Source organism: Homo sapiens, chromosome 7 (genome assembly GCF_000001405.40).
Source record: "Homo sapiens chromosome 7, GRCh38.p14 Primary Assembly".
In the NCBI taxonomy this organism is placed as follows: Eukaryota; Metazoa; Chordata; class Mammalia; order Primates; family Hominidae; genus Homo; species Homo sapiens.
The window spans coordinates 148,421,242-148,438,577 of NC_000007.14; the positions used below are offsets into that span (position 1 = coordinate 148,421,242).

The 17,336-nt window shown below is 45.9% G+C and overlaps 1 long non-coding RNA gene and 1 pseudogene across 1 annotated transcript in view; one reads left to right on the forward strand and one right to left on the reverse strand.

Moving 5' to 3' along the window:
• Positions 1-15,526, reverse strand: part of LOC105375554 (uncharacterized) — a 55,130-nt gene extending 39,604 nt beyond the window's left edge. Inside the window, exon 1 of the long non-coding RNA XR_928094.2 lies at positions 15,318-15,526. This is a non-coding gene — a long non-coding RNA (uncharacterized LOC105375554). The remainder of the gene's footprint in view (positions 1-15,317) is intronic.
• Positions 17,068-17,336, forward strand: RN7SL72P (RNA, 7SL, cytoplasmic 72, pseudogene; annotated as a pseudogene).

Sequence of the window (17,336 nt, forward strand, 5' to 3'; positions counted from 1 at the left end):
TTAGTTTACACCCATCTTGATAAAATGTGGTTCGAGTTCAGTTATCTCCAGAATATATTCTGATCCTTATTTGGAATGAGGGAGTAACACTGGATAGTGGGCACATGGATCCAAGCCAGGGAACTAGACAGCAAGGACTCGGCATGCATCGGAGGTGCGAAGCTTCCTAAATGCACTCCGTGTGCTTTTAGAGCTAAGTTATTACTCTCACTTGCTAGTTGTTCTGCAGCGAGCAGCTCTATGCAAACCACCCCTGCAAACCAAGGAAGCTGAGAGGCCAAAGAAAGAGGCTGAGAATTCCAATTTCTCAGAAAGAAACATTTCATAGGGAATTACAAACAGAGGCCATGTCTCAGGCAGCCACTAGACAGATGATGAATGCCTGCACTGTTACCCCCCCATGCCCCCCACACCCTGGACCCAGGGCTTATCCACCATAGGGAAAGGGTCTACAGACTTAAGAAGGGATGTGTAAGACAATTGCTTAAGGGTAGGGTTTACAGTAAGTATGATAACATCAGAGTTGTTTTGACCTAAGGGTGGGATTTATGGTTAAGTACATGCCTTTACATAAGGAATCACAGAGAAAATAAAAACCTTAGAGGCATTCCTGGAGGAACTGGAGTTAATCAGAACTCAACATAGCAGATTCACATTCAAGATGAAGTTGCTTAGCCTCCACACTGGTCTTCAATGACCATGACTATTGGGAAGCCATTTCCTTTTAATCAATTCTCAGTGAGGCATCTAAACGTATACCAAATAAATGTGAATTCCAGTTAAAAGCCCAAGTCCTCTGTTCTTCAGCAATCCCCAAGGCCAATCAATAGCAATTGCACTGCAGTATGTTCAGAAAGCATCAAGCGTCAAAAAGATTGGTCATGAATGCTTCGCGAATGTGATCCAACAGGTACAGAGAGAATGTCATCAAGTCCCTTGAGAAAAGAAAATCTGCACCATGAAAGTTCTTAACAAATTTTAAAAAGATGAGTCAGCAAGTTGAGGGTTTAACATCGCCAACAAAAGGTTTTGGCCACAATATGCTGACTTCCTTTCTCTGTCCCAGCAACAATAAACTCTGTATACATACATATGTTCCAGGAGGATAGCAACTTTCTTTTGTACAAATAAACGCCCTTCATATCCATGGGTTCCTCATGCAGATTCAACTGACCTCAGATCAAAAATAGTCAAAAAAGTTTAAATTAACAATGCAAAAAAATACAAATTAAAAGAGTACAAGTGATTCTCAATTTATGATGGAATTGGTTACATGCTGATAAACACATCATAAATTGAAAATATTGTAAGCAGAAGTGTGTTTTCCACTTAAGATATTTTTTATTTACCCTGGGTTTATCCGGGTCATAGCCCCATCCAAGTCAAGAAATATACTGAATGTGTATCACTTTTACATCATCATAAAATCAAGAAACCATAAGCCAAACCATCATAAATCAGGGACCTTCTGTATACTATATACATAGCATTTACATTGTATCAGGTATTATAAGTAATCTAGAGATTATTTAAATTAGATGGGAGGATGTATCTAGGTTATATGCAAATATGTACCATTTTATATAAGGGACGTGAGCATCCATGGATTTTGGTATCTGCAGGGAGTCCTGGAACCAATTCCCCATGGATACTGAGGGACAACTGTATTTGTTTAATTAATGGGTGTGGGGGAGCAGAGACGGGTAGGAGAGGAGGTTATAGGAAACTCACGGTCTTTGCAACTGGCAGACCAAGAGACTGCCCCTGGTGCCTATGCCACCAGGGCCCTGGGTTTCAAGTAGGAAGTTATATTGAAGAAAATATGTCTAGTTTTACACTTTGCCAGTTACAACATGGCATAACAGACAACAAAGTATAGAAAAGAGGAAATAACTGGGCTATTTTTCAAGAAGGGGTTCATATCCTCCCAAATTAACTCAGGTACAAAAGCTAACTCTTTAAAGAAAGTATTATGTGAGTAACCATTAGCATGTGTTTACCTTTTTTTGGTCACTTTGAAAACCATGAGCTGAATAATCCCTGCACCTGAAGATTTTGTTCTACCAGCAACCCCCTCTTGTTCAAACACACCCAACATGCTACAAAGGACCACTGCTCAAAGCAGTTTTGCCACAAAAAAATGCAAGTTTTCTTTTCTCATCATGTTTTCATGATCTTTCCATTCATCTTACTTCATCTTCTGGATAGATGGTAAGTAAATAAGTCTCTGGGGACAGGAACTAAACTCTATGCCAAGTCTTCACCAAAAGAAAATAACAAATAGCTTATCTTTTTCAGTTCTCTGACCTAACATGAGAAAGTCATTTCTTTTAAAAATATAAATGTAAAATTATAAGATTTAAATTAAAACCTGACAGGTGAAACTCAGAGATGAACTTATTTTGTATTCACAAATTGAAATTTGCAAGATAAAATTCTTAAGTCTAGGAAGGCTAAAATGGGATACAGGGGCAACCTTTTAAGTCATGAAAGATGTAGAGAGGGAAAGTGCAAGCTTGCTCCCTAAGACCTCAGGGCAAAGAGCAACCTTTGAAGCCAGAAAGAAGGCACATTTAGGACAAATAAAGGAAAAAAACACTCCAAAGAGCACCTAGTATGATTTGTTGCAGGTTAAAAAAATTAAATACAGACTTTTTATATATAAATATATATATACAAGCATGCATATATCTTCCCAAAATGACTGAGATTACTTCAATAATTACCCTAACATATGGATTTCAAAGGGGAATCAAGACTATGGAATTCATTTCATAAATATTTATGGAGTATCCCCTACGTGCTTGGCACCATTCAAGACTCTAGGAATTGACTAGAAAACAAGACAGGCGCATCCCTTCCAGTTAACAGGAACAGAAAACCAAATACCACAGTTTCACTTATAAGTAGGAGCTAAATGATGAGAACATATGGACACACAGAGGGGAACAACACACACTGGGTACCTTTAGAGGGTGGAGGGTGGGAGGAGGGAGAGGATCAGGAAAAATAACTAATGGGTACTAGGCTTAATACCTGGGTGATGAAATAATCTGTGCAACAAACCTCCATGACACAAGTTTATCCATGTAACAAACCTGCACTTGTACCCCTGAACTTAAAATATAAGTCAAAAGGATTTGCTGGCAAGATGACCGAATAGGCACAGCTCCAGTCTGCAGCTCCCAGTGAGATCAAAGCAGAAGACGGGTGGTTTTTGCATTTCCAACTGCAATTCCAACTGAGGTACCTGGTTCATCTCATTGGGACTGGTTGGACAGTGAGTGCAGCCCACAGAGGGTGAGCCAGAGCAGGGTGTGGCATCGCCTCACCCAGGAAGCACAAGGGGTGGGGGATCTCCCTCCCCCAGCCAAGGGAAGCCATAAGAGGCTATACTGGGAGGAATGGTGCACTCTGGCCCAGATACTGTGCTTTTCCCATGATCTTCACAACTGGCAGACCAGGAGATTCCCTCTGGTTCCTAAGCCACCAGGGGCCCTGGGTTTTAAGCACAAAACTGGGCAGCCATTTGGGCAGATACCAAGCTAGTTGCAGTTTTTTGTTTGTTTGTTTTGTTTTTCATACTCCAGTGGCACCTGGAACACCAGTGAGACAGAACCATTAACTCCCCCGGAAATGGGGCTAAAGACAAGGAGCCAAGTAGTCTGGCTCAGCAGGTCCCACCCCCGTGGAACCCAGCAAGCTAAGGTCCACTGGCTTGAAATTCTTGCTGCTAACACATCAGTCTGAGGTTGACCTGGGACGCTCAAGCTTGGTGGTGGGAAGGGCGTCCGCCATTGCTGAAGCTTGAGTAGGCAGTTTTACCCTCACAGTGTAAAAAAAGTCACCGTAAAGTTTGAACTGGGTGGAGCCCACTGTGGCTCAGCAAGTCCGTTGCAGCCAGACTGCCTCTCTAATTCCTTCTCTCTGGGCAGGGCATCTCTGAAAAAAAGGCAGCAGCCCCAGTCAGGGACTTACAGATAAAACCCCCATCTCCCTGGAACAGAGCACCCGGGGGAAAGGGCAGCTGTGGGCACAGCTTCAGCAGACTTAAATGTCCCTGACTGACAGCTCTAAAGAGAGCAGTGGATCTCCCAGCACAGTGTTCAAGCTCTGCTAAGGGACAGGCTGCCTCCTCAAGTGGGTCCCTGACACTTATGTATCCTGACTGGGAGACACCTCCCAGTAGGGGCCGACAGACACTTCATACAGGAGTGCTCTGGCTGGCATCTGGAGGGTGCCCCTCTGGGACAAAGCTTCCAGAGGAAGGAACAGGCAGCAGTCTTTGCTGTTCTGCAGCTTCCACTGGTGATACCCAGGCAAACAGGGTCTGGAGTGGACCTCCAGCAAACTGCAGCAGACCTGCAGTAGAGGGGCCTGACTGCTAGAAGGAAAACTAACAAACAGAAGGAATAGTATCAACATCAACAAAAAGGATGTCTACTCAAGAGACCCCATCCGAAGGTCACCAACATCAAAGATGAAAGGTAGATAAATCTTCAAAGATGGGGAGAAACCAGCATAAAAAGGCTGAAAATTCAAAAAACAAGAACGCCTCTTCTCCAAAGGATCACAGCTCCTCGCCAGCAAAGGAAAAAAAGTGGATGGAGAATAAATTTGACGAATTGACAGAAGTAGGCTTCAGAAGGTGGGCAACAACAAATTCCTCCGAGCTAAAGGAGCAAGTTCTAACCCAATGCAAGGAAGCTAAGAACCTTGAACAAAGGTTAGACGAATTGCTAACTAAAATAACCAGTTTAGAGAAGAACATAAATGACCTGATGCAGCTGAAAAACACAACACAAGAGCTTCGTGAAGCATACACAAGTATCAAAAGCCGAATCGATCAAGCAAAAGAAAGGATATCAGAGATTGAAGGTCAACTCAATAAAATTAAGCGAGAAGACAAGATGAGAGAAAAAAGAATGAAAAGAAATGAACAAAGCCTCCAAGAAATATGGGACTATGTGAAAAGACCAAACCTACTGAGAGGTGACAGCGTGCTGGCAGTCCTCACAGCCCTCGCTCGCTCTCAGCACCTCCTCTGCCTGGGCTCCCACTTTGGCGGCACTTGAGGAGCCCTTCAGCCCACCGCTGCACTGTGGGAGCCCCTTTCTGGGCTGGCCAAAGCCGGAGCCGGCTCCCTCAGCTTGCAGGGAGGTGTGGAGGGAGAGGTGCAAGCGGGAACCGGGGCTGCGCACGGCGCTTGCAGGCCAGCTGGAGTTCTGGGTGGGCGTGGGCTTGGCAGCCCCGCACTCGGAGCAGCCAGCCGGCCCTGCCGGCCCCGGGCAATGAGGGGCTTAGCACCCGGGCCAGCAGCTGCGGAGGGTATACTGGGTCCCCCAGCAGAGCCGGCCCACCGGCGCTGCGCTCGATTTCTCACTGGGCCTTAGCTGCCTTCCCGTGGGGCAGGGCTCAGGACCTGCGGCCCACCATGCCTGAGCCTCCCACCCCCTCCGTGGGCTCCTGTGCAGCCCGAGCCTCCCCAACGAGCACTGCCCCCTGCTGTACGGCACCCAGTCCCATTGACCACCCAAGGGCTGAGGAGTGCAGGCACACGGCGCGGGACTGGCAGGCAGCTCCACCTGCAGCCCCAGTGCGGGATCCACTGGGTGAAGCCAGCTGGGCTCCTGAGTCTGGTGGGGACCTGGAGAACCTTTATGTCTAGCTCAGGGATTGTAAATCCACCAACTGCACTCTGTATCTAGCTCAAGGTTTGTAAACACACCAATCAGCACCCTGTGTCTAGCTCAGGGTTTGTGAATATACCAATCGACACTCTGTATCTAGCTACTCTGGTGGGGCCTTGGAGAGCCTTTGTGTGGACACTCTGTATCTAGCTAATCTGGTGGGGTCGTGGAGAACCTTTGTGTCTAGCTCAGGGATTGTAAACGCACCAATCAGCGCCCTGTCGAAACAGACCACTGGGCTCTACCAATCAGCAGGATGTGGGTGGGGCCAGATAAGAGAATAAAAGCAGGCTGCCCGAGCCAGCATTGGCAACCCGCTCGGGTCCCCTTCCACACCGTGGAAGCTTTGTTCTTTCGCTCTTTGCAATAAATCTTGCTACTGCTCACTCTTTGGGTCCACACTGCCTTTATGAGCTGTAACACTCACCGCGAAGGTCTGCAGCTTCACTCCTGAGCCAGCGAGACCACGAACCCACCAGAAGGAAGAAACTCCGAACACATCTGAACATCAGAAGGGACAAACTCCAGATGCACCATCTTAAGAGCTGTAACACTCACCGTGAGGGTCCGCAGCTTCGTTCTTGAAGTCAGTGAGACCAAGAACCCACAAATTCTGGACACACTATGTTTGATTGGTGTACCTGAAAGTGACAGGGAGAATGGAACCAAGTTGGAAAACACTCTTCAGGATATTATCCAGGACAACTTCCCCAACCAAGCAAGACAGGCCAACATTCAAATTCAGGAAATACAGAGACCACCACAAAGATACTCCTGGAGAAGAGCAACCCCAAGACACATATCATCAGTTTCACCAAAGTTGAAATGAAGGAAAAAATGTTAATGGCAACTACAGAGAAAGGTTAGGTTACCCACAAAGGGAAGACCATCAGACTAACAGCGGATCTCTCAGCAGAAACCCTACAGGCCAGAAGAGAGTGGGGGCCAATATTCAACATTCTTAAAGAAAAGAATTTTCAACCCAGAATTTCATATCCAGTCAAACTAAGCTTCGTAAGCAAAGGAAAAATAAAATCCTTTACAGACAAGCAAATGCTGAGAGATTTTGTCACCACCAGGCCTGCCTTACAAGAGCTCCTGAAGGAAGCACTAAACATGGAAATGAAAACTAGTACCACCCACTGCAAAAACATACCAAATTGTAAAGACCATCTGTGCAATGAAGAAACTGCATCAACTAATGGGCAAAATAACCAGCTAGCATCATAATGACAGGATCAAATTCACACATAACAACATTAACCTTAAATGTAAATGAGCTAAATGCCCCATTTAAAAGACACAGACTGGCAAATAGGATAAAGAGTCAAGACCATTGTGGGCCAGGTGCAGTGGCTCATGCCTGTAATCCCAGCACTTTGGGAGGTCAAGGAGGGTGGATCACAAGGTCAGGAGATCAAGACCATTCTGGCTAACATGGTGAAACCCCGTCTTTACTAAAAAACACACACACAAAAAAAAATAGCCAGGCGTGGTGGCAGGTGCCTGTAGTCCCAGCTACTCAGGAGGCTGAAGCAGGAGAATGGCATGAACCCGGGAGGCAGAGCTTGCAGTGAGCCGAGATCACGCCACTGCACTCCAACCTGGGTGACAGAGCGAAATTCCATCTCAAAAAAAAAAAAAAAAAAAAAAAGACCCATCAGTGTGCTGTATTCAGGAGACCCATCTCATGCAAAGAAAAACATAGGCTCAAAATAAAGGGATAGAGGAATATTTACCAAGCAAATGGAAAGCAAACAAGCAGGATTTGCAATCCTAGTCTCTGTTTAAACAGACTTTAAACCAACAAAGATCAAAAGAGACGAAGAAGGGCATTACACATAACGGTAATGGGATCAATGAAACAAGAAGAGCTAACTATCCTAAATACATATGCACCCAATACAGGAGCACGCAGATTCATAAAGCAAGTTCTTAGAGGCCTACAAAAACACTTAGACTCCCACACAGTAATATTGGGAGACTTTAGCACCCCACTGTCAATATTAGATCAATGAGACAGAAAATTAATAAGGATATCCAGGACTTGAACCCAGCTCTGGACCAAGCAGACCTAATAGACATCTACAGAACTCTCCACTCCAAATCAACAGAATACACGTTCTTCTCAGCACCACGTCGCACTTATTCTAAAACTGACCACATAATTGGAAGTAAAACACTCCTCAGCAAATGCAAAGGAATGGAACTCATAACAAACAGTCTTTCAGACCAAAGCGCAATCAAATGAGAACTCAGGATTAAGAAACTGACTCAAAACCACACAATGACATGGAAACTGAACAACCTGCTCCTGAATGACTACTGGGTAAATAACGAAATGAAGGCAGAAATAAAGATGGTCTTTGAAACCAATGAGAACAAAGACACAATGTACCAGAATCTCTGGGACACATTTAAAGCAGTGTGTAGAGGGAAATGTATAACACTAAATGGTCACAAGAGAAAGCAGGAAAGATCTAAAATCGACACCCTAACATCACAATTAAAAGAACTAGGGAAAGCCAGGCACGGTGACTGACACCTGTAATCCCAGCACTTTGGGAGGCCAAAGTGGGTAGATTGCCTGAGGTCAGGAGTTCAAGACCAGCCTGGCCAACATGGTGAAACCCCGTCTCTACTAAAAATACAAAAATTAGCTAGGCGTGGTGGCACACACCTGTAATCCCAGCTACTCAGGAGTCTGAGAAAGGAGAATTGCTTGAGCCTGGGAGGCAGAGGTTGCAGTGAGCCGAGATTGTGCCACTGCACTCCAGCCTGGCCAACAGAGCAAGACTCTGTCTCAAAAAAAAAAAAAAAAAAAAAAGAAGAAGAACTAGAGAAGCAAGAGCAAACAAATTCAGAAGCTAGCAGAAGACAACAAATAACTAAGGTCAGAGCAGAACTGAAGGAGATAGACACGAAAAATCCTTCAAAAAATATGAATCCACGAGCTGGTTTTTTGAAAAGATCAACAAAATAGACCGCTAGCCAGACTAATAAAGAAGAAAAGAGAGGCCGGGCGAGGTGGCTCACGCCTGTAATCCCAGCACTTTGGGAGGCTGAGGTGGGCGGATCATGAGGTCAGGAGATCGAGACCATCCTGGCTAACACAGTGAAACCCCATCTCTACTAAAAATACAAAAAATTAGCCAGGCATGGTGGCAGGCGCCTGTAGTCCCAGCTACTCTGGAGGCTGAGGCAGGAAAATGGTGTGAACCCAAGAGGTGGAGCTTGCAGTGAGCCGAGATCATGCCACTGCACTCCAGCCTAGGCAATAGAGCGAGACTCCGTCTCAAAAAAAAAAAAAAAAATTTACAAGAAAAAAACAATGCCATAAAAAAGTGGGCAAAGGATATGAACAGACACTTCTCAAAAGAAGACATTTATGCAGCCAACAGACATATGAGAAAAGCTCATCATCACTGGTCATCAAAGAAATGTAAATAAAAACCATGATGGGATACCATCTCATGCCAGTTAGAATGGTGATCATTAAAAAGTCAGGAAACCACAGATGCTGGAGAGGATGTGGAGAAACAGGAAGACTCTTACACTGTTGGTGGGAGTGTAAATTAGTTCAACCACTGTGGAAGACAGTGTGGTGATTCCTCAAGGATCTAGAACTAGAAATACCATTTGACCCAGCAACCCCATTACTGGGTATATACCTAAAGGATTATAAATCATTCTACTATAAAGACACAGGCACACATGTTTATTGCAGCACTGTTCACAACAGCAAAGACTTGGAATCAACCCACATGCCCATCAATGATAGACTGGATAAAGAAAATGTGGCACATATACAACATGGAATACTATGCAGCCATAAAAAAGGATGAGTTCATGTTCTATGTGGCACATATACAACATGGAATACTATGCAGCCATAAAAAAGGATGAGTTCATGTTCTATGTGGCACATATACAACATGGAATACTATGCAGCCATAAAAAAGGATGAGTTCGTGTTCTTTGCAGGGACATGGACAAAGCTGGAAACCATCATTCTCAGCAAACTAACTCAGGAACAGAAAACCAAACACCACATGTTCTCACTCGTAAGTGGGAGTTAAACAATGAGAACACATGGACACAGGGGTGGGGGGCATCACACACCGGGGCCTCTCAGGGTTGGGAGCTGGGGGAGGGATAGCATTAGAAGAAATACCTAATGTAGATGACTGGGTGATGGCTGCAGCAAACCACCATGGCACGTGTATACCTATGTAACAAACCTGCACGTTCTGCACATGTACCCCAGAACTTAATGTATAACTATATATATATGTTAAAAAATAAAATAAAATTCCAGTTAAAAGCCCAGCTCCTCTGTTCTTCAGCAATCCCCAAGGCCAATCAAAAGGCAGTGTAGGCTGGGCGCGGTGGCTCATGCCTGTAATCCCAGCACTTTGGGAGCCTGAGGTGGATGGATCACTTGATGTAAAGAGCTTGAGAACAGCCTGGACAACCTGGTGAAACCCCGTCTCTACCAAAAACAAACAAACAAAAAATTAGCCGAGCATGGTTGTGGGCTCCTGTAATCCCAGCTACTCTGCTACTCTGGAGGCTGGGGCACGAGAATCACTTGAACCTGGGAGGCGGAGGTTGCAGTGAGCTAAGATCGCGCTACTGCACTCCAGCCTGGGCGACAGAGTGAGACTCTGTCTCAAGAAAACAAAAAGGTTGGGGGGCAGTGTAGGAGCTGATTAAAATCAGCTTGGTTGAGGGGCACGAGTGAGGGAAATCCATCCAGACTCCAAACCACAGGATCCCTGCTCTGCAGCAGGACTTCCTCCTGCCTTGAACTCACCAGGAACTGCACCTGTCCTCCTGAGGGATCATGGCTAACACCTCCAGGGGAAAATGAGCTCACAGAGGGAAAAGGAAACACCAGGCATTTGGGAAAGATAACTGCTAGAAATGAAACATATTGAGCAGCCAGTACTTGAACTGGCATTATGGGGACAGATGCAAAAATCTAAACAAGTTTAAAAATATCGTCCCAGAAGAAAAAATATTCAACAAAGCAAGAAACAGCAGTTGTAAAGAACAATCAGATAAAACACTAAAAACTATAGCTGAAAGAAACTCAAAAGATACAAAATGTGCACAGCTGAATAATTATTGTACAGTCTATGATAAGTGTTGGTGGAGAATGTGGGGATAGTGAACTCCCTGTTGCTCTTTGGGAGGGAAAGTAAATGGGGTATAACCATTGAGGAAATTCATGCGGCAGTAGTAAGTAGAATTTTATAGAGAGAGACACATATGCACACATAAACACACCCGCATACACACACACACACATGCATACATATGTTGCAACTTAATGAACCCACTGCTGGGTAAAAGTCATGTTCGAGGCTGCTCACCTCGGTGGTGAGTGTAGCAGTGATTTGAATGTAAGTACAGCATCACAGTTTTTTTTTTTTTTTTTTTTTTTTTTGAGACAGAGTCTCGCTCTGTCACCCAGGCTGGAGTGCAGTGGTGCAATCTCGGCTCACTGCAACCTCCACCTCCCGGGTTCAAGCCATCCTCCTGCCTCAGCCTCCCAAGTAGCTGGGATTACAGGCAACCGCCAGCACGCCCAGCTAATTTTTGTATTTTTAATAGAGACGGGGTTTCACCATATTGGTTAGGCTGGTCTTGAACTCCTGAACTCGGGTGATCCACCCACCTCGGCCTCCCAAAGTGATGGAGTTACAGGCATGAGCCACCACATCTAGCCAGCATCACAGTTTTTGAAACTCTGCACTACCACTTACTAGCTTCTTGATCTTTTTTGGCTTTATTTTTTCTGCAAAATGGGGATAATGATGTAACTTACCACGTCGGGTTATTGTAAAGATTAAATTAGTCAATACCTATAAAGTGCTTAGAACAGTGCCTGACATAGTAAGCGCTCCATAAATTATAGCTTTAAAACAATCTTTTTTAATGAACAGAAACCCAACCCTAGGGTAATTCCCCAGAGAAGTTCCTGCAAAGGTCCATAAGGGGAAAGGTATGAGACACACATAGGACTGTCAGTGATAACCGGGAGTTGTAGACACCCAAGGTTTATGTAAAATAAGGTAGACACGTGCTATGCAAAATCATACAGAGGTCAGAAGCCATTATAATAAAGTAGATACATACACAGCAATATTAAATCTTCTATCTTAAAAATACAGTACAAAGTGAATAAACCAAGAAACAAAAAGTCATAAAATAATGTAAATTATTAAAAGTTAAAAACGTACACAGAACTATAGATACCTGAAAAATTTAGGATATGTATATGTACATATCCTTCTGAAATATGTTATATATAAAATAAAATATAGTCATTATCTAGAGGGGAGAAGGAATGGGAGTGGGGTTGAGATATAAATAAAATAAAGCAAGAGAGACCTTGCATAGCCTATTGATAAAATGCCATATTCTGAAAAGTATCATCAACTCAACTCCTAGCCCCTTAGGGGAACTGAGAGAGAGAGAAAGAGAGAGCACAAGAGAGAATACAAGAGGCTGGTTGCAGGTAGCACAACTAAATCAGGAATGCAAAGGGTAGAGGCATGGCTGTATGGCAGGAAATGTAACAGCTAATACAGTCAATCAATCAATCAATATTAGTAAGTGGGCAAAGACAATGTGAAAGGAGAGCTTGCAGTACAGCATTTCTGTTCGTTTAAATGCAATAATGTTCCTCATATTACAGAACTGAAGGAAATTAAAGGACAAAGGTCAGAGGCTTTCCCTCCCATTCTGCAAAGTAACACACACCAAACCCTTTTCAAGGATGTGGAGCAGAAATGACACCTCACTACCCCTGAATGCAGTTTCAGAGAAGCTATCTCTACTCTGAACTGGCCTGAACGTGACTTTGCTAGAGTTTGACTTCTAATTCATGGATGGAATAACTTACAATAAATGTGAAATAATTTTTTTAACTAGGGTTGATATGAGATTTAAAATTGCTGTATATATCTAGTTTATTACTTCTGACTTCTGTATGGCTGTCCACAGCCTTCTGCTGGTTTTTCTGAAGCTGGGCCAGGGGGCAGATGTCACCTATTATATACCTCATTGTAAATTAAATGTTCCTGGTTAAATCACAGATCTTGCTAGAAGCACGCCCTGGGCTTTGTCAAAAATACAAGGAGCTGCTAGAATATATTTCTGAGTGATCAAGTTATAACTCCCCTAAATTAAATTTACAGTAGAGCTTATTCACTTTTATTCCAAGCAGTAACCATGGCACTCGCGTTAAATCATTACAAGTGCAGCAGATATATTGATTACTGCCAGGCCTGTCATTACCAATCTCAGTTTACGCACGCTGCAGCGAACTGTAAAGTTTAATTAGTATCCCCGTCTGGTGTTGTAAAACACAAGTCTGGACATATGGGAAAGAAAGATGAGTTAATGTGAATCATCTTGAAAACATGAAACCAGCAGACAGAGCAAAGCAGATAGCTGAACTTGTTCTGAATCAAAGTTATTTGCCTTGACATCTGTGCTGCATTATGCAATTGGGTTGGGAGAAAATATTCACTTAATCTTCTCAAGAAGACAACTATTATTCTGCGACGATTGAGGAGGAGGAGCAAATAGCAGCCATTGGGTCATGCGACAAAGTGACTCGGAAACACGTGGATTGCTGCATTGGCCATCTCTAGACACAGTCACGAACAGAAGCTCTGAGGGACAGGGCCCTGTAGAAACCAACCGGCTGTCCTCCATGCCACCAACTCTAAAAAGGGGTGAGGTTGACACCTCAGGTGTATCACTGGCACTCTTTGGGACCCTATGCTCTTAAGTCTATCACCAAAACACCAGGGGTTCCGTCTAGGTCCTGCTGTTCCCTGCACAGAAAGCCAATCACTGAGATGACCATTCTTGCCAAGGAAGAAGGCGATAATCAGGTGCTACAGCTGAGGAAATGAGAGATCAATCTCTCTGACCACTAAAATTAGGAGTTTATATAGCAGGGAAGAAATGTAACAACGTACATAATTTCCTGGCCTCCTCCAGCCCAGCATCCTTCCCTCCACCTGGCCTCAGCAGCTCCTTCCATAGGTTTCTTCCGTAGCAGGGAAGAAATGTAACAATGTATGAGAAAACAGGAACTCAGTAAAGAAGCAATCATGATGAATGAGAGGCCTGGAGTCTTACTGCATGCAAAGATCTGGTGAGTTTCAGTTCTCTGATACTTTTTCAGAGGCCTGGGGGTCCTTTCCTGAGGAAAGACCTCAGATAAATATTAAGTTTCAGGCTTTAAGACCAAGAGGGTCAATTTCTATGTTAAATAAGTAAATAAATGTGTAGAACTACTGGGTCAGTTTCAAGTCCTTCATAAATTAATCCAAACTTTAAAAAATGTAATCATATTTCCTGTTCTTACCACCTTTAGGATTCACAAGAATTATGTCCTCTTCTTGGGGAACGGAATTCGCTTAGCTTTCACAGTGACCAGCCAGCACAAGGGGAGGGGAACTGGATGGCACCGAAGAATGTCCCACCAAAGTTCCATGCAGAATGCTCAGCCTGACATCTCCAGCCCCAGGCACCCTCTCTGCCTCCCTCCCTCCCTCTGCAGGAGCCGTAACTTCAAGGTGAAGGGGATGTCCTCACCACGTCCTGATCCCCACTGTGGACCCACTCAGTCAACTCCTCTCACCTGATCCATTCTCCCCGGATGCCCGCTGCTTCTCAGCCTTTCAGCAGAGCCCTGAAAGCAACCCTCTAATCACTGAGCCCTCTGTCAGTGTTCTCTAAGCCTGCCTGGCCCTTTGCTTATTGGCTTTTCCTCATCGTGACCACCTGTGCAGGATCTTCACTTCCCCAGCACCTGCAGCCCCGGACCAGGAAGGCCCAGCCCTTCTGGGCTCTGCCTTTCGCCTTTTCCAAACTTCCCATCTCCCACAGCCCTGCTTGCTCCTCCACTGGAGCCCCAGCTACCAGTCTTCCTTGATGCTAACCAGGCCTGGGTAGAACTTGCAGAGCCCAGTCCAAAATAAACAAGTGACTGACAAGAACGGGGAAGTCGATCTCCCCTTCCCAGGGCCTGCCTCCCAAACCCACACGGACAGAGAACCAAAGGGACTGCAACCTCTGCACCCATGCACTTGGCACTTAGATGAGGGGATGAGCAAGAACCCTCACCAGGTTCCTGCAAGCACACCAGGAAGAGCCAGCATGGGGAGGGGGTGGCCATCACCTACCCTCACCCGGAGATGCCACACCCAGCACACCTGGCTCCACTGTTTCCACTCCTGCACTCAGTCCCCCATGGGGCAGAGAGCGAAGGCAAAACACAGAAACACAGACATCACGCCTCTACCACATATCCTGTCGCAGACTCAGGCTGAGGACAGCCAGGATCCCAGGGCAGGTGGCCAGGGGGAGCTGGGTCAGACTCAGGCACAGGAGGCAGCTAGGAACAGTCCTTGAGAGGCCCTGGGAGGCAGACAGTGCAGGAACAGAGACTCCAAGCCCCAGGCATGCTCCACTGCCCATTGGACCTTCCTTGCAAAACACATGCTCTAAGATAAAATTAGGATTTCAGGGGGCAAGCATGAAAACTCTGGGCTCAGTGGCCCACACAGACCAACCTGAAGATGATGCCAACTCACCCACCTCATAATTTCCTGGCCTCCTCCAGTTCAGCATCCTTCCCTCCACCTGGCCTCTGCAGCTTCTTCCGTAGGTTTTGCTCTGGACCCTGTCAACCTGAGGGGAGAGCCACAGCTCAAGGCAGAATCCTGAGTTTAGAGGCTCCACCCAGCCAGGCGAGGTGGAGGTATAGAGTTCCACTTACTGTGGTGGCTGAGGCCTGAGGCAGGAGTGAAACGGGAGAGTTCTCTGAACCTCTCGCGGGACTTGCAACAAGGGTGTGGCCTGTTTGCTTGGCCACCATGTACTCAAACCCCTTACAAGAGGGGGAAACATGCAGACAGACAGGTGCAGGAGCTGGGATGAGTGCTTTTGGGCTCCAGCCGCATAGTAGTGAAACAGGAAAAGTTCCCTTGTCCCCCTCACAGGGCGTGTGACAGGGGAGTGGCTTGCTTCTTCAGTGCCCCACTGCTCAAACCTCTAGGGGAGCATACAGACGGGCAGGTTGTGGGGCTGCAACCTCATGGCAGTGTGTAGGGGTGAGTGTTTATAGCTCCTAAAGCCCCAGTGGGCATGTGTTACAGGGCGCTTTTTTAATTTAGCCATCTGCAGGTGGCTTGTGTTAGCTCAATTAGACTCTCTTCCTTATCACAAGGACAGAGGGATTTCTGTATCCCGGAGTTTCTTACCTTGGTGTACTGGAAGAACTGGATCGCATGTGGGCTTGGAGAATGAGTTCAAGGTTTTATTGAGTACAAGTAGCTCTCAGCAGATGGGGGAGCCAGAAGGGAGATGGCTTTTTCCTGGAGTCAGGCAGCTCAGGGACCTGGGCTCTCCTCTGACTGCCCCAGCCAAACTCTGTGTCATTCTGCTGGTCAATGGCCTGCGGCATGCTGGCATCTGTTGGTGTGCTCTTCCGCCAGAGTGCTCCCCTCGATGTCCTCTCAACGTCCAGCCACCTGTGTCTTTTTCCACCAATGTGTTCCTCACAATGTCCAGCCACTTGTGTATCTGACTGCTAGGGTTTCAGGGGTTTTTATAGGCACAGGATGGGGGTGTGGCAGGCCAGAGTGGTCTTGGAAAATGCAACATTTGGGCACAAAGACAGATGTGCCTGTCCTCACCTAGGTCTGTGGGGGTAGAGTCCTAGCCAGGCACCATGCCCTCCTCTACCCAGCCCTTCCATTCCCCACTTCCATATCATTTAAAAGGACCATGCTCTTTCCTTCCCAGCACTTCAGTATCAGTAGCCTCTAGGGAAGTGTTAGAATGAATACCCTTTTAGCAGTTGCCATCCCCAGACAGCTAAGCGTTAACCAGTTTAGTGGAGAGTCAGACAGCTTTTTACACCCTGTCCTCTTAGTACCCGGGTCCTTGTCTGGCATCCAGGAAGAATCGGGTCATGTGAACTTGAAGGATGGTGAATGCAGGGATTTTATTGACTGATGGAGGTGGCTCTCAGTGGGATGGATGGGGAGCTGGAAAGGGGATGTAGTGAGAAGATGATCTTCCCCTGGAGTTTGGCCATCCCCAGCTGAACTCCTCTTGACGTTCAGACGCTCCTTCTCTTCTCTTTCTTCGCCTTACTGCTCTGCCACCCAGCAGCTATTCTGCTCATGGAGCCTGGGGTTTAGCGTTTATATGGGTACAGGATTGGGTGGGTACGGCAGGCCAAAAGTCAACATTTGGGTGTGAAAACAGGAATGCCTGTTCCCATTTAGGGTCACAGGTTTCCAGGCTTGAGGGTGGGGCTTTTGCCAGGGAACTGCCCTCTTCTACCCAGTATTTCCCTGCCTCCTGTCCATCTCAGGAGAACCACTTGAGCCCAGGAGTTCTGGGCTATAGTGCTCTATGATGAGGTGTCTGCACTAAGTTTGGCATCAATGTGGTGACCTCCCCAGAGTGGGGACTGCCAGGTTGCCTAAGGAGGGGTGAACTGACCCAGGTTGGAAACAGAGCAGATTAAAAATTCCTGGGCTAATCAGTAGTGGAATTTCACCTGTTAACAGCCACGGCCCTCCAGCCTGGACAATACAGCAAGAT